This window comes from Homo sapiens, chromosome 7, assembly GCF_000001405.40.
Source record: "Homo sapiens chromosome 7, GRCh38.p14 Primary Assembly".
In the NCBI taxonomy this organism is placed as follows: domain Eukaryota; kingdom Metazoa; phylum Chordata; class Mammalia; order Primates; family Hominidae; genus Homo; species Homo sapiens.
This window is the reverse complement of record NC_000007.14, coordinates 31090761-31111690: the sequence shown is the minus strand read 5'-3', so window position 1 is coordinate 31111690 and position 20930 is coordinate 31090761. Positions and strand designations below refer to the sequence as shown.

The window sequence follows — 20930 nt, the reverse complement described above, 5'->3', positions numbered from 1 at the left end:
GGAGATCCTTTAAGGCCAAGACTTCTAATTTACTTTTCGAGTTCCATCCTAGGCTCACTCAGGCCCACTCTCATATTTCTCCTTTGGAATCTTAAAGTCCACTGGGCCTTGTATACACTGGATTACTCTTGGATGATCAAATTTTGGGGGTAGTCCTCTCCCCTTCCCCCTCCTCTCCTCCCTTCCCTCCACTTATGCCAAGTTACAGCCACCAGGAAAAATGGCAAAACATTTATTGAGTCATCTACAGCAGTCTGACATCCTTAAAATCCTGGACAAGATAGTGAGCACAGCATTAATGGCAGCAGCAGTAGCAGTAAGGTCTGTGGGGCTTACTTAGCTTTACTGTGGGAGATGAAACCCAGGCTGGTCCAGCTCCCACAAGTGAGGCAGGAACCATGTCTGAGATGCCAGGGGCTGCACCACTCCAGCCCTGATAGAGGCAAAGCTACAGAAGACAGACATCAGACAAGACACACATAGCCAAGTGCAGAAACACCCCAAGACTGTGAGTTCAGGAAAAGAAGGAATGGGCACACCAAAATGTCCCAGATCCTTGAAGTTGACTCCCAGGGGCATGGCTGCTATCACCCATATGGAAGTATCCTCACTCTGATCCCAACAGAAAACTGAATCAGCGGATGCAGGTAAAGCTAGAATTCTGTGTCCATCTGAGCCCTCTGGCCTCCCCCTTACTCCTGATGCTGGTGGTTTTACAAATGAGGCACAGGTTAACTTAGGAGGGCTCAAAGCAGTAGATAAACAGCAAGGAGTCCCTTCCAGCAGTCTTCATCCCAATAACAAGCCCACATCTGTGTAATTTCCAAAATCTTTTCACACACAAGCCGTCTCATTTCAACCTTATCCTTGGCCTGTGGGACTAACAATGCCAATGAAGTCCTCCCCATTACCCAGATTAGGAGGCCGAGGCCCAAAGAAGGTAAGCCCTGGATCACAGAGCAGGTGGCTAAGCCCAGGTTAAAAAGTAGGTCTCCCCACACCACACTGACTCCATTGCTTCTCCTGCAAGAGTCCTGGACAACCTTCGGTCACCAGAGCCCCACTCCTGTGCAAGGTTACATGCGTACTGCATGGATGCTTTGAGTGTCACATTCTGCTCATGTGCAGGGCTATGCATAAATTGGTGAGCCATTTACTCATTCAGATTTATAAAACATACTGGATCCCACCATGGTGGCAGGCACCATGCTAGGCCTGCGTGTATTTTCTCATCAGCCCAATGGGGAGGTTTGACCTATAGATCTCCAAGTTTCCTCCCAGCTTTAGTATTTTGTGAGCCTCCTCAAAGACATATGGGGAATGAGTCAAGGTCAAACAAGCCAGGAGCAAAGCGTGGAGAAGCCCAAGTCCTTGCTCCTTGCTCAGGGCTCTTCTAGCTGACTTCCATGGTCCCTGGGCTCAAGGAGGACTTTATGACAAAGTATTAATACTTTATGATAATACTAAATGATAAAGTATTATCACTTTGCTGGCTTCACTTTGAAGTGGCCATGAAGAGGGCAAGGGTACTACTCAAAAAAAAAAAAAAAGAGAGAGAGAGAGAGAGTCCCTTTGAGCTTTCCCTTCCACAAAGAGTGAGGATCAGATGAGAGAGGTGAGTGGGCATCCTTGGCGGGGATTATAGATGCAGGTGTCTCTCAAGCCTAGGGCTTGGCTCTAGCTCCCTGTCCTTCTTCCACAAAGAACCCAGCTTGGAGGGGGTGGGGTTAGAGAAGAGTCGCTGTAGGCCACTGGATGTGTCAAGCAGGGTGACAGAGCTACACACTGGGATAGACAATGTGACTTGGACTTAAGTGGGGAGTCATGAAGTCTGCAGTGCTAGGAACTACCACAGAGCCACTGAACCACAGAGCCACCCACATCCCGCACTTGGACCCCCCTCTCTGGCTCCCTGACAGCCTCAGCATCCTTGACTTGGAATCCCATTTCCTCCAGGATGAGAGTCCCTCCCTGACACTGCCTCCCTGCTCCCTGGCTGGACACTCATGACAGGGAAAGAGAAATTTCTTCATCCCAAGGAGAATTCGGCCTCCCATGGGTGAGTTTCGTCCTTTAGGATTGCATAGAACGAGAAACCCCTTCCCAGGAATGATCATCAACAGGGGTGGAGTCTGACAAGCCTGCTTCTCCCCAGCCCCACTTTTCTCAAGCCTCTCAAGCTGTCTTCACATGACAGGATTTCTTATCCTTTCCTGGCCCAGGCAAATACCACAGTCCTGGGGCCCATTCCAAGTAGATGGCTGGTGTTTAGACAGAGTTCCAGAGATGCATTGGGCTATATACAAATCATCTAGTCTTATTGCCCATTTTACAGATTTGAAAACAGAGGGTCAGAGAGGGAAGGGTTTTACATAGACCTTATGCTGTCCCCCTACTGCCTGTGACCCTGAAGGCCAGAACCTCTTGGAACATTGAGAATACATCAGGTACATCTGCTCACAAGACTGGCAAAAATTCACTCAGACGGAAAAACAACCAACTAACCAATAGGAACCCGGCACCTCTATGAGGATGCAGGGCCAGGCTCAGGAAGCAGCACAGTGCATGGGGTTCAGGGTTGATTTTGTTTTTACTGTTTTGTGATGATGTCTCTATAATGCCAAAGTTTCTTCTTCCACAATGAAAACTGTTGGGAGTCATGATGAATGAATGGGGTCCATCCCCAGGGGGCTGCTCCTTGGATCTGGAGCTGGCCACTGGAGGTGGCACCCCACCCCAGCAAGGTATATATGACTGCATCTATACATCATGCCCAAGGCACCTGTTCAAATGTCCATGACCTAATCCTTCCTTCCAGGCCACCAGCTTCCACTGTGGTGTCCAAATGGAAGGGACAGAAGGTCCATTTCCAAGAAAGGGAAAATAAACAGCATCCTGTCCATCCCTCTACACACACACACACACACACACACACACACACACATATATTCATCAAAACCTGATATGAGGCACAATGATGAATGCCCTTTTACCTGTCTTGACTTTGAACTGGAAAAATCACTTACGTGCAGGGCCTAGAGAAGCATTGGAAGTTGCCTCATCTCACAAATGGGAAAACTGGAGCCCAGAACAAGGAGCATCGTGTCCACAGTCACAGCAGTCTGAACCCAACTGGGATAGAGTCTAGTTCCCTGAACCCTAGGCCATGGCTCCTTCCAAGCAGCCCAGACCCCCTAGCAGTGCCCAAAATGCAAGATGTCCACAGGACCCTTGCTTCAGTAATGCACACCAGTGCAGGTGGAGGGGATCATGAGGTCAGGTGCAGGGTAGAAGGGCCACTGCACACTCCAAGATCAATCTGAGTCACCAAGCATGCCCAGGAAAGGGCAGGTAGCTCCTTTCTTCCTCTGGCTTTGCCAAAGATCCAGGAACTTACTTGACTGGCCAAGGACACAGAGCTCCTCTCTAAATTACAGCAACAAGAGCCTTTTCCAGCCACTCTGAAAGCCTCTCCAGAAACATTTTCCCAAGTCTCCCAGGCCCCTTCCTCTTTATAAAATGAAGTAACATCCTCCTCCACCCAAAGTCCCCAAGCATTCCAGAGCATCATCATGAAACAAGTCTGCAAACAGAATTTGGACAGGAGTAACACCAAATGCTGACATGGAATGAGCTAGGCCACACACGGACCATGTACTCTAGCACTTTCCTCTACCTCCCCAGCTGGGCACTGCCCTATTTTACATTCTCAGGCTGAGGGTGTGCAACCTGCAGCTGGGGAGCCAGGGCGGGTGGTAGGGAGCAGCTGCCACATCAGCAGCAGCCTCTGCTAATGGGCATGTTGGGTGTGGCTTCTCCCGACACCCCAGCAGCCCATGGTGAGTCAAGGTCAAGGGCATAAAAGGGACATCTTTGCAGAGGTCTCAGAGAGATTTCAATAGTTGAGTCCAGGCCAGAGGAGCTGGTGTCTGGGGCTCCTCATCATCCATGGGAGTGGGGGTCGGGCAGCCCTGGGCCCCAGATTCGGGTGCAGGTGCTTCAGGATTCGCCGACATCAGAGGCAGGTGGCTGGTACATCCTAGTCATGGCTTTGACTTAGGGGAAATGGGGAGGGGAGGGCTTAAGGGCTCTCTGTGGTGTGCATGGTTGGAGACAGCTTCTGGAAGGCATCCATGAGGGTGGAAGAGGTGGAAGGGAGATGACCAGAAGAACCCTGTCCATCTTGAGCTGGGGGTAAAACAATGGAGATGGCGAAGGTTTTCTTCCATGGGTCTCCCAAACTCCGTCTCTTTCGCAATCACAGCCACATTTCTGGCTCTCAGCTCCTTTTGGATCAAACGAAAAGCACCAGAACCTTCCCTGACCTGCAGACTCCCCACCCAAACTGAAGTCTCTGATGAGAAGAGCCTGGGAGCTGTCCCACTGCCCTGGGACCCAGGAGCTGAGCACCCGGACACCAAGATGCCAGGCGAGTGCCAGGAGGCCTGCACCAAGGGGTGTTCTGGCCACCCGAGCTGGCCCTCTGCTAGGCTTCAGGGACTTGGGCCCAGGACTGAGAAGAGCCCCAGGGTGGCATGCACACTCGAGGGGTCACACCCAAAATCAGATGATGGGGGGCTGTTGGGGCAGGTACCACCCCAGCTCCCACAGGCAAGGTCTCTTCAGCCTTAGCTCACAAGGCCTCACAGCTGGGGTCAGGCCATCACTGAGGCTGACCAAGAAACAGTGGGGTGGAGCTGAGACCTGACTGGAAGTGAGCAGGGACACTGGGGCAAAGGGGGAAGGGATGGGACAACTTTTCCAAATTTGAGGAGTATTTACATGTCTGGGGTCAGGGCCCAGGGGACCACAGTGGGTGGGACCAGTACCAAAACAAGGAGGGGACAATTCCAGTCTGTGCCCTGCCTCCTTCTCCCCCCTCAGGAGCCAAGCTTCCAGCCCAGGGCCTGCCCAAGGGGAGGGAAGAGGCGCAAACATGCGTGGGCTGGCACCTGCCTGCGGTCCCAGCCTGTGGATGGAGGAGAGGAGGAGGAGGGGAGCATGGCTCAGGTGGCCAGATTGTCAGCAGGGAGGCCAGACATGCGGATTTGGGAGCTGCTCTTGCTCAGGATGGAGAGCTGGGTGCCCCCATTCACCCCACTGCTGGCCAGAGACGGGTGTCGGTGCTTGAAGTCCACAGCGAAGTAACGGTTCACCTTCCAGCTTCGCCATTTTCGCTTGATCTCCGCTTGTACCTGCAGGGAGCAAACTGGGCGGTCACTTCCAGATGGACATCCTCTGCAGCCTCCAGGCCCTGTCCTGGCCTGGGGCCCTTCCCAGGCTGGCAGTGCCACCCTCAGCACCCTCCCCACTCCCCAGTTGCAGCCTGCGGCCCTCAAGGTCTCCAGTGGGGGCTTTTAGCAGCTGTAGGCAAGGAAGCCTCTGAGGAGCTGACCGGAACAGCCCCTTCCCTTGCCACTTTCTGAGCAAGGCCCTCTAATGGCTCCCTGTTGTTTTCAGGCCAGGCAGAGAATAGTCCATTGGGTCCTTCAGGAAATCTTTAACAAGCAGTCCCACAGGGCAGGTGGATCAGGAAAGGATCCCCACTCTTGGCTGACCAGTAAGAGTGGGCTACACATTAGAATTACCTGGGGGGCTTTAAAAATTCCAGATGCCCAGGCCATACCCCAGAACAATTATATCAAAAGTTCTGCACAAGACCCAGACATCATATTTTTTAAAGCTTCCCAGTCAGGGTTGAGAACCATTAAATAATGCACCCCTCTGGGAAAACACACACCCATGTAGCTCTTAGCATGGTGAGTGGGGGCCATGCTGAGTCTCAGCCTCCATGTGCCTTCTCAGTCAAGCACCTTCGTGCAGTGCACAGACTGCACAACTGGAAGCAGCGCCTACACCCACCCTCTCCAGTTCCAGCTCCTACTTTCACTGCAAGCTCTGAACAAGCTACATACATGCCCACTTCTAAGCTCTCCTGGCCACTACCTGCAGGGCCCTTTCTGCCTCTCTTGTCTGTCCTAATCTGATCCTTCTGTAGGTTGTCTGGGCGATCACAGAGCCCAATCTCTGTTGCTCAGATGCAAAAGAGGGAGGAGCCTGCCAAGGTGATGCAGCTAAGACCCAAGCACTGGTGCAAAGACTCCCGCCTACTCTCAAATCCACCCTAGCCATTCAGTCCCCACCGCTGCCCCAGCACCTCTGTTTTGGGTTGTGCTCAAGCGCTTTACCCCAATAGGGTACAGAGGGAGCCCCCGAACCACAGCTCTGGCAATGGAGTATTAATAGAAGGTTCCAGGTCTCTCCCTGGGGTCTCTTCCAAATTCTCACAGTCTCCCTTCTACCAGGGGACAGTTTGGGCCAGGCTGGCTGGCCAGTTAAGGGCAACCCTGAGTGCCAGGCAGCTCCTGGCTCAGCAGCTCTGCCTAGCACAGCCTCATGGCCTGTAGGTCCTATGTCCTGTGCCCCACCCTTCCTTATTGTCAATTCCTCCTCACCACGGAGTGTCTTATGGAGAGGACCCTCCCAGGGAGATCTGCGCTCAGCAGAGCCGACGCTTTTACCAGGAGCTTTGCTCTTTGGGTGGGGCCTTAGCTGCACAGCTGGCAAAGTGGGACAGATTCCAGCACAGGGTGTGGGTATCAGGAGGTCCTGGCACCACACAATGCCAGGAGCTGTATGACCAGCCCCTCCTCTCAGTGCTGGGAGCCTGGCAGAGCCCTCTCTGAAGAGTCAGTCCCATGTGGCCAACAGGTGGTTCCCCTGTCTGCTCCCCAGAAAGCCCCACTTCCACTGCCAAGAAGCCAGAGGGCCAAGGTCTTACCTCACCATTCAGAAAACAGTAGAGAACAGCCACCACAAAGCCCTGGGAATAGAGAAAATAAGCCTGAGGATGCTAGCAAAGGACTTTCTGAAATGCTGTGTGGGGCATGGAGGGGATGACTCTAGGAAGCAGAAATACACCATGACCTGGATGGGGGCACCTGCCCAGGGATCTGGGGTAAGATGGGACAGTTCTACTCTACCAAGATGGGCACACCCATGAGGCCACGTGGCTGGTGGTCAAGTCCTGTCCCACAGATACATTCTAGCTTTGGATCTCACATTCCCTTGGTCAGATCCTTCCCATTCCCAAAGGCCAGCTCTATCCCACTTCCTATAAGAAGCCTTCCCTGAATGCCCTAGAATTTCTCTTAGCTCCTAACCATCCTGCAGGCTTCTGAGGGTAGGAACCCTCCAGGACAGAACAGACCTGTGCCATCCTTGTCCACCATCATCTCCCCAATCTGCCCTCCTTGGGCCAGATACTATCATACACAGCAATGCAGAACACCACGCAGAGCGAGTACTTGGCACAGCGTATGCACTTAGCTATTCTCTATATATTCTTTAAATCCACACCAAAAAAGCAGGAGCATTTTCTTGAATGCTGCAAATTAGTTCCTTGCAATCCCTGTGCCCTGTGCTGTCGTTTGAAGGTGTTGGAAGAATGATAGCTCAAGGACCCCAGAACTGGTCAGCAAGCACAGAGACAAGAGCCCTGGGCTCTCACTCCTGGGCCAGGGCTTTGTCTATGAGCCCATGAGGCCAGTCTCAGGTGAGACCCATAGTCAGTCTCACCAGACTAAGAACCTGGGCCCGGTTAAATGGCCTTGGATTAAAATGGTGGAGAAGGTCAAGTCAGATATGGAGAGTAACTTTCTGACCATCAAGATCAAATACTAATTCAAACAGCTGGCTTAGGGAGAGGCGCTCTATCCCCAGACACTCCAGGGAGCTGCCCCTGCCTTCATCCACCTACTGCTGCTCCTGCCTGCTCATTTCCTCATGGTGATTCACCTAGCCCCTTACTCATTTCCAGTCCATCCACTCCTTCCTCCAGGCACTAAGGCAGCATTCTGTTCACCCTCTCATCCCCCCACTCACTCATGTCTGTTTGCTCATGCATTTGTGCAGCTCACTGGGCTCTCTGTGGCCAGGCCCTGTGCTGGGGATCTAGATGTAGGTAAGACAGAACTCAAGGGGTACATGGCCTAAAAAGCTGAAGGCAGGATGTGGACACACTGGGCTCTTGAGGACACTCCACCCTGCACCCCAGGCTGCTGGGAGATGCCATCTCAGGTCACCCAGGGTGGGGGCCAGGAGTGGGGGCAGCTGGCTCAGGATACTCAGATGCAGTGATGGGCAGACACCAGTGTGTCTTCTTACAGGAGCCCTAAGGGTAGACAGCAGACAGGGCTCCCTCATCACCTCTACTCTAGCACTCACTTTACAGTCAAGATTAAAGAGGCTCCAGCACCACTTGCAGGTGAGCAACCAGGCCCTGGCTCCCAGTGAGTTCTGTCCTCCCCATGTGCCACACCTACCTGGAAGGAGCCCAGCCCCAGCTCAAACACGAGTCTTTCCCTTTTGCTGACATTCTCTGGGGAGAAGGCAAATACTGTGTAGTGGATTCCGAATAGTGGGATGAGCAGCAGGGTGGACCGGGCCAGTCGCCTGTCGGAGGAAAGCAAAACATCTGCTCTGGGGACTTCCAGGGCTCGGGGCCAGAGCCACGGAGGGCAGAGAACTCAGCCCCAGTCCCTTATTCTCCCTCCAAGCTGGGGCCCGTGTCCACAGACCCCTCAGCATTCTCTCCCAGTACAAGTGGCCTGGGCTGCCAGGACTCTGGGATATTGTGGGGAGACATCCCCAGTCTGCAAGACACTCAGTCAATAGCCTGTAGAACCACTAAAAATGTGCACACGATTTACAGGGACCCCTTGGGTGACGTGCAAAACCTTCTGGAAAAGCAAAGTCAGGGCAAAACACAGGGATCAGACTGACAAGCTTGTGGGAAATGCAGGGTCCTCAGGCAGAGCAGCCGCTCTCCTGTTCTGGAAGAAAGCTCTTTGTGCCTGAAAGAAGCAGCCCTCGATGGGCCACAGAGACAGTTGGCTTTTTGGAGCCTGGGGCTAGCCGGGACACTCACCAAGTGATGGGGAAGTGCTGATGGCAGGGAGGGAGGAAAGGCTCAGTGAGTGGATCACAGAGGAAGAAACTCGGGAGGGATTCTAGGAGGAACTTACGGACCCTGGGCATCGGCAATCTCCAACTGGGCAGGAGGAACCTCCTGCTGGGAAACTGAGTCAAAGGTGGAAGAGAATGCTCTGAAGTGGGCCAGGCAGGGGAGGAAGGGCCGGAGGACTGCAGTGCTTCCTGAGGCAGCTCTCCTGGAGTTCCCCTGCCTGCCTCTGGCCCTAGGCTGACAGCACGGTGGGGCTCTGTTCTGAAGCCACAGGGCCACAGAAGCCCACAGCTAGGACACCTGGACCATGTGCACTTGTGGGTCCTGCTCTATAGGGGACACTCACAAGCATTCACCCAGAGTGGGCACACTGGCTCCCTGTGGGTCTCCCCCAGAGAGTCCAGCTCTGCCCTGCAGATGTGGCCTGCCCCGCAGATGTGGCCTGCCCCCAGGCTGCACCTGGCCCATCTCCTCCAGAGGATCAGCCTCCCCATCTCCCAGCACAGCTAAGTCCCCCGGGGTGGACAGCAGGCATGAGGCAGTCGTTTGATTTGGGGCAATTACACCATGTGTCCCTCTCTCCCGCATTCAGCCTTTCTGGGAGAGAATGTTCTGTTGAACATGGGAGCTCCAGATCTCTAGAGAAGCTGAACTCTTGGAGTCTGTGTGAGGCCCTTGACTTCCTAGCTTACATTCAGAGAGGAGAAGGAAGGAAGGAGGAGACACAGGGGGAGGAGGAGCAGCCTGAGGAGATCTTTAGGCAGAGGGAGCTCAGCCCGTAAAGGAAGAGGACCATGAGTGTGGGTGTCCACCCTTTCCGCCCTGCTCACAGACAAGGGCCACCAGGATCCGAGCAGGTTCCTGCTAAGCCCAGATGCAATCCTGACCAGTCCATCCTTCCATCCTTCCTCTTATCTGTCTATCTCTGACTGTGACTCCCTGAAGGTGGGGGTGGTGCCTCATTTATCTGGGGCAGGGAGCTGCCTGTTCCATGAAGAAATCCATGTGGCACACAGGCCTACTTTGAGAGCCTCAGCATCCTCAAAACTGAATTCTCTCTTGGGCGCTCGGGTCTTGTTCATCTCTGGTTATCCATGCCTGGCACCAGAAGGCAACAGAGGGTGCTTGCAGAAGGAATGAAAGTCGGGAATGCAGAGGAAAATGGCCAGAAACACAGGGACATGGATGTCTTGGGGACTCCTCTGTGGCCCTACCTATAGGGGCTACTTTTAAAAAGATATCTATTGAAGGAGCCCAGGAAAGGAAGCTGGCCCCAGAACATGCCTGTGGCCCCTGCCTTCCTCCTCCTGGCATCTGTTCCCATAGGTGGGACCATTTCCAAGTACTTGTCCCTGTAGTCTAAAAAGGGCCCTGGAAACCAATAAGTCAAATCTCTCCAGCTTCTGTGGTGGAATTACATGGGATGGATTCAGAGTGTGAGAAACAGTGACCCTTCAGGCCTTTCCCAGCCACAAGGTGGATGCAGTGATGGTAGTGAGGGCATCCCACAGCACAGTCCAAGGGCAACACCTTCCCTCCCCAGCAGCCCCACAGCAGCCCCAGAACAGACAGGGACTTCTGCTGGGGAGCCAGGGCATCCCGGTGGCCACTTTGGCAAATGGGGCAGTAGGGACAGACAAGGAGTCTCTAGAGCCCAGGGTTCTGGGACTGTGCTTCTAAGCTAACTGACGTCTTGCAACAGAAACATATGATGTGAGCCATTACCCAAAATGACACGGGGCCTAGGCCTCTGTCCTCCTGCCCTGAGGAGCCAGCAATGGGCAGAAGAGTCCCAAAATACCAAGAAGGGCATCAGAGATGCCCAAATAACAGTGGGCTGCCCAGGGGAGCAATGGCACCTTAAGTAAAAGGGATGTCCAAATTGAATAAATCTGATATTCCAGCCAGAGACTCCTTGGGGCGAAGTGCTTAGGATTCTCTGGGTTCAAATCCTCCCTCTGTCAATTAGGGGTCCTTGAGTGAGTGACTTCATCTCTCAGCACTTCAGTTTTCTCATTTGTAAAATGGTGATGATACCAGGACCCAGCTCATAGAGTTGTTGTGGGGATTTAGTGAGTTAATGCTGACTCACACACAAAGTGCTGTGGACACTGGAGTGAAGTTCCCTGCCCTGTGTGGGGGAAGGTCTATACGAACTCAGGCTCTAAGACTCTTGGAAATAATTTGGCAGTTGAAAACACTGAAGCTCAGAGAAGTTGGGGACTGAGGAAGGCCACACACCAGGCAGCAGCAGCAGAGAACATGGGGGTGCTGCTTCCTCAGGAAGCACCCACAATGGCCGTAGATCCATCCCCACACCCTGCCCACCCACCCCATGACCACGAGGCTGCAGAGAACTCACAAGACACACAGACACCAACATGCAACAGCCGGGAATGGGTTGGGGCTGGGAGGCAGAGGCTGGCTCTCCACTCTCCTCCAGCAGCGGCAGTGGCAGCATGCGTCCCCCACCCCTCCAGGATTCCCGGCCACAGCCTCGGCCACGCACACTTACAGAGTAATGGTGGACAGTTCTGACATCTTGCAAGAGTGCTGCTGAGCCCGCTGTGGCTTGCAGTAGCATTTCTGCACGCAGCTGCTGGGTGTGACAAGATTAGCACTTCTGTCAGCTGGGGGGCACCAGGCAGTGAAGAAACTCAGTTTACAGGGAAAGCAGAAAAGAGGAGGGTATGGAGACAGGGCCAGGGCAGTCATGTGGAGGAGAATGAGGGAGCCAAGGGCCAAGACATGGGCAGCTCTGGACAGAGAAACGCACGCCTATACGTGGACATGAGTGTGCATGGCTGCACACGCACACACGCACGAACACTCACACTGGGACCACTGCTAGGTGGGTGGGTTTAGAGGGAAGGTGTGTATTCAGAAGGTGGCCTGGGCTAGGTCTCACACAGGGAGCCAGAGGCTGCCTCCAGAGTTGGCTCCAAGCTTAGAGCCCCGCCTCGTCAAGGTCCCACTCAACAAGATGAGAGCTGGAAACTCACACTGCCGATCTTCTGCACTGCCTAGCACAGGCAACCTGAGCCTCAAATCAGGCCAGTTCTGGGCTTGGCTGTGAAGGTCAACTTGGGTGTCCGTCCACTGGTCTTTCCCCTCTACCCTCTCCCTCTCCTCTGGTCCACAGCTTCCTCCCTGTGAGCCCCCCAGCAACTCAGAATCAGCACATACATAGGGGACAGAGGTAAGTCAGATTGAATGAATTGTTAATTCATCCAGACCTAAACTATTCCAATATGATAGCCACTACCCATATGTGGCTATTTGAATTTAAATTAATCAAATTAAAAACCCACATCCTCAGTTGTTCTGGCCACATTTTAAGGGCTCAACAGCCACATGGAGCTAGTGGTTATCATATCGGACAGCACAGACATAGGACATTCCCATCACTGCAGGGAGTTGTAGGGGACAGTGTTGGGCTGGACTTCTTGATACAAGTTCAATGGGCAGGGGCTGAAGACTGAGAGGAGCACCTTTGGGCACTGCCCCATGGCTTGCAGAAACAAACCACCTCAAGGAGGGGGGCCCAGGCTGCAGTCTCACTCTACATTCTCCTGGGTGGACCCAGGACTTCTGTCTCCTCAGGGAGGTCTCAGGCTGACTCTCTGTGTCTCCAGCCCACAGTGGTCCTGCTTGGACTTGGGCTGACACAAGCCATGAACACTTTCCCCTTCTCTGACAGATGTGTCAGAGATAGATGATGAGCTGTATTATCTTCTCAGATTGCAAAAGACTTGCTACTTCACTAACTCTCCTCAGGTACCACATGGCTCTGAGTCTCCCGGTGCTGGTCAATGAATTAATAAATCAGATTGGACCTGATGCAAATGAGGACAGCTACAGAGACCACACCCTTGGCATTCAGGATCTGCCTTGTGTGATTCCAGCTCTTTAAGAGTAAGCCTGAAGGTACCTGACAGGTGGTGACATGTCATTTCGCTGAGGCCAGAATTTGTGTCACACATTTCCAAGATGGGGCAAGCCCAGGTCCCCCCCCCCCCCCCGCCCCGCTGCATCTGTGCATAATGGATTTGGGGTTCTCATTCAACAAACAGCACCATTCAATTCACACCACACTGTGAGGTGGGCACTACAGATCCCCTTTTCCAGAAGAGGAATGTCGAGGTTTGGTTTGATGCTTTGCTACTCAGACTGCAGTCCCCAGACCATCAACACCAACACCACCTGAGAGCTTCTTAGAAATGCAGAATCCCAGGTGCCACCTCGGACCTGTGGTCAGAATCTGCATTTTAACTAGATCCCTGGGGGATCCACATGCATGCCAAAGCTTGAGAAGCGCCATTAGGAGGTATTCATCTATCTGAGAAGTTTCTTCATGATTCCTCAATGAATGTCAAAAGTCTGTTTCACAGTCATACAAAGAGACAGACTCAAATAAGTATGTTTTTCTCAATAATTAAAATAGCTTAACTGGGTATACAGAAATGGTACCTATTCTATTCTTCAAATTTATTATGTACCTTTTCCTAGCTGAAAAGTTGGTTAGTCTCAGGCTGGGCGCAGTGGCCTGTAATCCCAGCACTTTGGGAGGCCGAGGCGGGTGGATTGGCTGAGTTCAGGAGTTTGAGACCAGCCTGGGCAACATGGTGAGACCCTGTCTCTACTAAAATACAAAAAAATTAGCCGGGCGTAGTGGCAGGTGCCTGCAGTCCCAGCTACTTGGGAGGCTGAGGCAGGAGAATCACTTGAACCCAGGAGAAAGAGGTTGCAGTGAGCCAAGATCTCGCCACTGCAATTCAGCCTGGGCAACAGAGCAAGACTCTGTCTAAAAATTAAAAATAATAATAATTGGTTATTCTCTCCTACGGCCAGTGACCCCTCAACCTTGGCTTGGGTAAACCACAGAAATCAGGGTCCAGGAGACCCCCCCCCAACTGTATCTGTTGCCTCCTACATGCCAAGCTTAAACCTTCACCCCAAATTCTGAAGTTCTCCTCTGCAGCCCTGCTTTCTTTAGCTTCAAGATTGTTCCTGTCCCTCCCGGACCCTAGATGTTTCCATGGTAAACACAGACTCCTCTGATTTTTTTTAAGGATTTTTTGAAAGTATTCCAAAGACCATTTAGTGACAAGTTCACTGGGAAACCCTGCACCTGGTAAAGTTGTGTGGCTCTGATGGGGGTCAGGGAGGGCAGATCAAGGAGCAGCTTGGGGGAGGACTGGCCCTGGAGGGCTCTTGAAGGAGATGGGTCTAAAGAAAAGGCTTTCCCCAAACCTTCAATGGCTCTGCACAAAAGGACTCATGGAAAAGAAAAAGAACAAATAGTGCAGGAAAGCCAGAGACACGGTGGGAGAAAGGAAGATGTCAGAATGTCTTAAAAGTCACGACAATTAGGGAAAAGGGAAAATAAATTAAGTCAGGAAGAAGGGATGAACCTAGACTGACTGATGCGGTAAATTCTGAGTTGGATCCAAAAGAGACTAAAAGCTCAGGCAAGGGTGTTGGGTGGGGCTGTCTGGAGAGCAGAGCAGCCTGATTCAGAAAGTGGGAGACCCTATCACAGGTGCAGGGCTCACCCCCACGTCTGCCTTTCAGAGAGCCTTGGCCTCTGGGGCTGGCTACGCCACAGCTTCATTGTGTGTCTGCAGGAAAGTCACAGCTATTTCCATGTCTTAGCACTCACATCTGTCAGCCGGGGATCCAGCACAGTTTCTATGAGGGCCAAACTCCAGAAATGCTTCCGCAGCTGTGGTGTGCAGGGTTGGTTGGGCTACAGCCCTGGGAAACACCCAGAGGAACGCTAGACAGAGACACCTGCAGGGAGCCCTTTGCAGGCAGCATCCCTGTCTTCTTCACGTCTGCATTCCTAGGGATCACTGTGGTGCTGGCCACTTGGCGGTCCACAGAATGTGGTGGACTGAGCTGAACACACTCCATAGGGTCTCTCCTGATGCTAAGATGCTGTGCACCCCCGGAGCCCTGCCCAGTCCTCGAAGTACTCCCTACCACACTGGCACCCCAGCTAGCAGCACAGCTCACAGATCCTGGGAACTTCCTGCCCACCACCACCTCCTCCGCAACCACAAGGACGAGCCACTCCTCCATACTCCCAGCCGGTCTGGAGGGGTCCCAGCTGAGAAGTCTGGGCACCCTAGCTCAGGGTTTTGCTCAGCCACTGACTGCTGGGTCATCTTAGGTGGTGCCATTTTCCTTCTCTGGGCCTCAGTTTCTCTGTCTGCAACATGAGGGTAACTAGTCCCTACTGCCAGCCCCTAACATGAACTTTGAGGATCAGGTGCTCCTTGGCAGGGGAGGAGGTGCTGTGGAAGTGGAAGATGGAGGCTTTGTGAGCTGGAAGGCTCTGGATGTGGAGGAAGCCTCTAGACTGAAAGCTGCCTGGCCGCACTTCTGCCTGGCCCCGGCACAGCCATCTCCAGAGATGTGTGCATCCTCCCCAATGGGGCCAAGGAGACCCCATGGGAGTACAAATGGGTTTTCCCTCCTCCACCCAAGCTGCAGCTTCCAGTGCTTGTCTTCCAGGGAGGAGACCCCTAGAATGAAGCCGGCTCACTTCAAGGCAGGGGGCTGAGGCTCTCCCCGAACAGTTAATGTCTACCCTGGAAGCCTCACCTCTCCCCTTTCTGAACCAGTTACCTGCTCACAGAGGTCAACTCCAGTTAACCCTGACCTACCCGAGGCTTAATGCCAACCCCAGCTGAGGGCTAAGCCCTAACCCCCCTCACCCCTGCCCCAGACCAAGTCGACCCTGAGCACATGCTAAGCCCTGACCCAGCCCCTGATGCCCACTGCCCAAGTCCTGTCCCCAGCCACTCATCCTACCAGGAGCATCAGGTCAGAGAGGACGAGTGGCTCAGTGCCACCGTCCCCCCGCAGAGGCCCCAGACCCCATCAGGTGCTTCTGAGGCTGGGCCAGGAATACCGTCTTGGTCTATGGAGGACAAACCCTTATCACCTGAGCAGCTGGAACCAACCTACAGGAAAGGGAGTGAATGCTGGTCTGAGGGCACAGGCAGGGGGTCCTCTCGGGCTTTCTTGGGGACTCGCGGGCTTAAATTTGTTCTGGAAATAAGAGGAAAAAACCGGAGAGCTGTTGTGGGCAGATCTGAAGGGGCTTCTTGGCCCCACACATAACTCTGGTACCCCAGGGGACTCTGGCACAGCCCTGGAATCTCCCTCTCCCCCCATTCACTGCCCTCTCACCTCCCCTGCGCCTGACATTCTCCCCTCCTCCCAGTGCAGACACCTCCCAGCTCAAAGCCAGCTCTGCCAAGCACTCTGGGCTGAGGGGGCTTTCACACAGGCTGGAACCCACCAGGGGCCTCTTCTTCCAGGAAGCCTAATTTTGCACACTTGTTTAATGCTATCTTTTCATCTGTGCATTCCTTGAGGACAGGGATGACGGTGCTGTCAAGCTTGGGGTGAAAGGCCTGCCCGCACCACAGCCATGGCATCCTCCTTCCTCCTGGATTCACGTCACTTCACTGATAACTAGTTCCCTCAGCTGTAACATGGTGATTCTATTTGACAGTGATTTACCTATTCCACCAGATTCACTGGATGTTTGCAGGTGTTAAATGTGCATGGATGTGGTCGCGAGTATTTCCAAGTGCTCTACAGTTCTTAGCAGTGTGGTCAATTGGATTACTACTCACTTTGGCCGACAGGGTCTCCTTGACCCTGTCACTCAAACATGCTGCTGGACTGAATGGGATCAAGCTGATTCCCTGTCCTGTGTGGGCACTCCCACTCTCACAGACTTTGTCCATCTGAGTTTTTAATCATGGGCACTCAAGACTAGCAGAGGTTTGACTTTCTCTAAAAAAAAAAGATTTGCTGAGATTGCAAAGGGATTTTTTTTTAATGCCAGAAGCAAACCAACTAGCTGGATCTTTAAATGTCCCAGATTAATACAGTACTTAAATGTATAAACCATGTGCTAATTACAGGTAGCTCTTATCTATGCATGAGGAAGACCTAACAAGACTCAAGGCTCCTGGTCCGTGGAGAACCTGAAACCTTGGCGGGCACTTCTTTCCCACCAGGCCCTGGGGGTTCTTGCTGCCCAAAGCAGAATGTCTGAGTTGGCAAAGTATGTTCAGGGTTCAGTAGGGTATCCTATTTAGTAGGGAAAGCTGAGAGGACCCCCCCAGAGAAGAGGTTGGGGGGCCCTCAGTAGAAGAACAAATCCTACCAGGAAGGGGAGGAAATCAAGACCACTAGAGCTCAAACGAGAGATGAGGTTGACTTAGCTCCCTGCCAGCTTCAAATATGGGAGACAACTATTAGTGTGTGACCTGATCCACGCCCAAGCAGGAGAAACTGAGGCCAGACACAAGGGCAGTGTCCAACACTAGACAGGAGATGAGGCGAGCAGCGGGGCCCTATTTTGTGAATCCTTGAGATGAAGGCAGGAATGCTATCTCTAGGGCAGGTTATGTAGTAGCAAAGGGCTGGCCCCCCACCCCACAGGGCAGGGCCTCTAAGACTTTATGATTTATATTGATGAATAATTTTCTACTACATAATATACACATATAAGCAAGAATTGGTAAAAACTTGCAAAAACATGAAAGAAAAAACAGTAAATGGATAGGAAAAAAAGCACTTTTTCCAATGTAATGTAATCATTGTATAGGTAGAAAAAACCTGGCTGAACACCCCAGGCCCTGTGCTAGTCCCCCACCCCTGAGGAAGGGTTTCCACATGGGGAGTTCCCCAGGCTGAACAGATTGACAGACCAAGAACAAGCTCCACCTCCCTGAGGAAGCCTCAGGGAGCCTTAGGGAAGGATCTAGGATTTGGTCTCCGAGCAGTTCTTGCCTCTCCCTCTAGGAGAATGGCTGAGGAAGGGGACCCTGGGGGAACCCTGTACTGGGATCTCTCACTGTCCCACTTGTCATCTACTGGGCAGCCAGTAGATGCTGTGACCCCAGCATCTACTGGGGTCTCTGATGAAGGCAGGACCATGGACCCAATGAGGCACCCAGTGAAGATACCTCAGCTCCTCCTCATCTGCTTTCTTCTGAAGGAGCGGAGAAGCCACACATAGGGCTTTTGCCTTACCAACAGACGGACCCCAAGGACTGCCCTCAGAACCAGAGTGTGCCCATCCACCCCTCCAGCCAACCACAGGGGACAACCAACCTTCCTCCCCAGCATCAGAAATGTCCTCATACCCCACACACCCAGCTGGTCATGCTCCCATTCACAGCCAGAGATGGGAGGTGGAAGCTGCTATGTCTGATTTCATAATGAGACAGGGCGGAGAGAGAAATGGGAAAGGGCAGGCAAAGATAGGCTGTTAGGGACATGACTGCAGAAATACTTCTTGGAAATCAAGTGGCCATGGAAGTGGAGAAAGCCCTACGCTCTATGGTAAGAGGCTGCCCTGTAACCCAATAATCCCCAACCAATTAGATGTTCATCAGAAAGGAAGGAGTTGAAGAAATAGGACCACATGCAGAGGTAGAGCTGCCCCGAGGGCCTGTGGAGGAAAGAAAGTACCCACCTTCCAACACCCAGACCAGTGAGAATGTGTCCGCCTGACTCGCTAGTGGGAACTGGGCAACTTCCACAGTCTGGGCTGGGGGTCGGAATATCAGGCAACAATGTATTCAGTGGTATTCATGAGCTTCCCACAGAACCAGGAACCCCAAAGGAAACTCAACTTCTAACCAACCAAGACCCTACCTCCCTTAGGAAATCTGATGTTTTCCTTCTTGACTTTCCTAGTCAGTCTCTCTCTCAGGCTCTCTCTCTCTCTCTCTCTTCCTGCCCATCCATATGATGGCCATGCAGCTGAGGAGCTCCTGGGTTTGCTGAATTCTGGAAGGGCAACTATATTAAAGGCTCTTTAATCAGAAGAAGATCTGCAAATGCTGATGCTAGGTCACCCTATCAGCAAAGCCCAGGCCGCCTTCTGCTGTGACCTGAATGCAGGGCCCGCTCGGCTGTCAGAAATGGCTGTGGCAGCCACACAATGGTACTTACAAGTAGATGCTGGACTCATTGCCTCCCATGTCTGGAGACTGAAGTTTCTGCACAAGGATGACGATAATGCCAATAAAAAGCACAAAGTTAACCTAAGGAGCAAAAAAAAAAAAAGCAGATGGACATGATTCTGGGCAAAGATGCTATTATTTCCCCAGCAGGACCCTCCCCCACCTAGTCAAGATCCCATCTACACTTCTAATCCAAGATGGCGGTGTGATAATTCCCATTTATCTCTCCAGCCTCCCACAGTATCATTAAAATGAAGGAAGAGATAGAAGAAAAAGGATTCCATAGAAGTACGGGAAATAGGAAAGGACATCATGAGTAAGTCAGAAAAGTAAGCCATTTCTAAAAGAGAAAGAGAAAACAGGATCAGGGTGATGGGAAAACTACAGCCCAAAAGAGATAAAGTAAGACTATTGCAGAAGTGAGAGTTGTTCTGTAGAGAAATTCCAAGTTCAGAGTCATCAAATATGGGGAACCAGAATGGACAGCCATAAGCATTGCTAATTAAAGGGCTGCCTGGGAGTGGTAATAGTAGCATTGCCTTCAGATAAAGACTAGGGACAAAAGCTTCCTAAACAAAGTAGGAAGCTATGTGAACGGTCACAAAGGAGGAGGAAGGGAAGCAAAGAAATAGAAACAAGGCACAATGACAGGACTCCACAGGACTACACATCAATGTCTTTCAGGCATAGCCAAAGCAGCCCTTGGAGAAAAAAATGAAGAGCCAAAAACTAACTGATTAAAAAAACAATAAATACTGAAAAACACTTAAGCATTCAAATCAAGAGCTAGGGAAAGATTACCACAAACGTAACTTATATAAGAAAGAAATTAATAATTATAAAAAATTATCAGAAAGAAATAAGAAAAAATAGGAGAACTGATCAATAAAAATAAAGTTTTATTTTTGCTTTTATCTTGTTTGTTGGTTTTTACAGATGAATTGAATGACAAAGGCTGTTTCATGAGGGCAGGATTCTGTCAATCGTGTTCTCTGCTACAATGCCCAGTTTGATCAGTGTCTGAAGTTTACGAAAATAAGCAACGGGGAAAGGACTCCCTATTCAGTAAATGATGCTGGGATTGCTGGTTCACCATAGGCAGAAGAGTGAAACTGGACCCCTTCCTTACACCATATTCAAAATTTAACTAAAGATGAACTAAAGACTTAAAGATAAGACCTCAAACTATAAAAGTCCTAGAAGAAAACCTAGGAACCACCATTCTGGACATAGGCCTTGGGAAAGAATTTATGGCTATGTCCTCAAAAGCAATTGCAACAAAATCAAAAATTGACAAGTGGGACCTAATTAAACTAAAGAACTTCACAGCAAAAGAAACTGTCAACAGAGCAAACAGACAACCTACAGAATGGGAGAATATATTTGCAAATTATGCATCCAACAAAGGTCTAATATCCAGCATCTATAAGGAACTCAATTCAAAAGCAAAAGACAAATAATCTTATTAAAAATTGGGCAAAAGATATAAATGGATACTTCTCTAAAGAAGATGTACAAGCAGCCAGCAAACATATGAAAAAATGCTCCACAGCACTAATCATCAGAGAAATGAGAATCAAAACCACAATGAGATACCATCTCACACCAGTCAGAATGGCTATTACTAAAAAGTCAAAAGACAACAGATGCTGGGGAGGCAGCAGAGAAAAGGGAACATGGAAACACTGTTGGTGGGAATGTAAATTAATTCAGCCACCATGGAAAGTAGTTTGGAGATTTCTCAAAGAACTTAAAACAGAACCATCATTAGACCCAGCAATCCCATTACTGAGTATATGCCCAAAGGAAAATATATCATTCTACAAAAAAGACACACGCATTGGTATGTTCATCACAGCACTATTCACAGTAGCAAAGACATGGGACCCACATAGGTGCCCATCGATAGTGGATTGGATAAAGAAAATGTGGCACGTATACACCATGGACTACTACACAGCCAT

General features: G+C 51.4%; 1 protein-coding gene across 10 annotated transcripts in view, besides 2 other annotated features; it reads right to left on the bottom strand.

The window, feature by feature from the left end:
• The window catches only part of ADCYAP1R1 (ADCYAP receptor type I), a 59167-nt gene continuing 38453 nt past the window's right edge, over nucleotides 217-20930 (bottom strand). For 4 of the 10 annotated variants that reach the window (NM_001199635.2, XM_017011736.3, XM_017011737.3 and 1 more), the window contains 5 exons: nucleotides 18956-19047; nucleotides 11481-11564; nucleotides 8325-8454; nucleotides 6782-6823; nucleotides 217-5195 (listed from right to left, as the gene is read on the bottom strand). In NM_001199635.2, the coding sequence (NP_001186564.1) occupies nucleotides 5007-5195; nucleotides 6782-6823; nucleotides 8325-8454; nucleotides 11481-11564; nucleotides 18956-19047 (537 nt within the window). In that variant the 3' untranslated portion in view covers nucleotides 217-5006. Of the gene's footprint in view, nucleotides 5196-6781; nucleotides 6824-8324; nucleotides 8455-11480; nucleotides 11565-15940; nucleotides 16025-18955; nucleotides 19048-20930 lie in introns of all 10 variants that reach the window. The other 6 variants (NM_001118.5, XM_047419879.1, NM_001199637.2 and 3 more) reach the window with 3 other exon arrangements.
• Nucleotides 4835-5630: an enhancer, noted in NCBI's record as "H3K4me1 hESC enhancer chr7:31145675-31146470 (GRCh37/hg19 assembly coordinates)". NCBI's record gives its function as "activates a minimal SCP1, AML or CMV promoter by ChIP-STARR-seq in naive H9 embryonic stem cells {active_cell/tissue: H9 hESC(naive)}" and the evidence as "EXISTENCE:reporter gene assay evidence [ECO:0000049][PMID:30033119]".
• Nucleotides 9295-9795: an enhancer, noted in NCBI's record as "H3K4me1 hESC enhancer chr7:31141510-31142010 (GRCh37/hg19 assembly coordinates)". NCBI's record gives its function as "activates a minimal SCP1, AML or CMV promoter by ChIP-STARR-seq in primed H9 embryonic stem cells {active_cell/tissue: H9 hESC(primed)}" and the evidence as "EXISTENCE:reporter gene assay evidence [ECO:0000049][PMID:30033119]".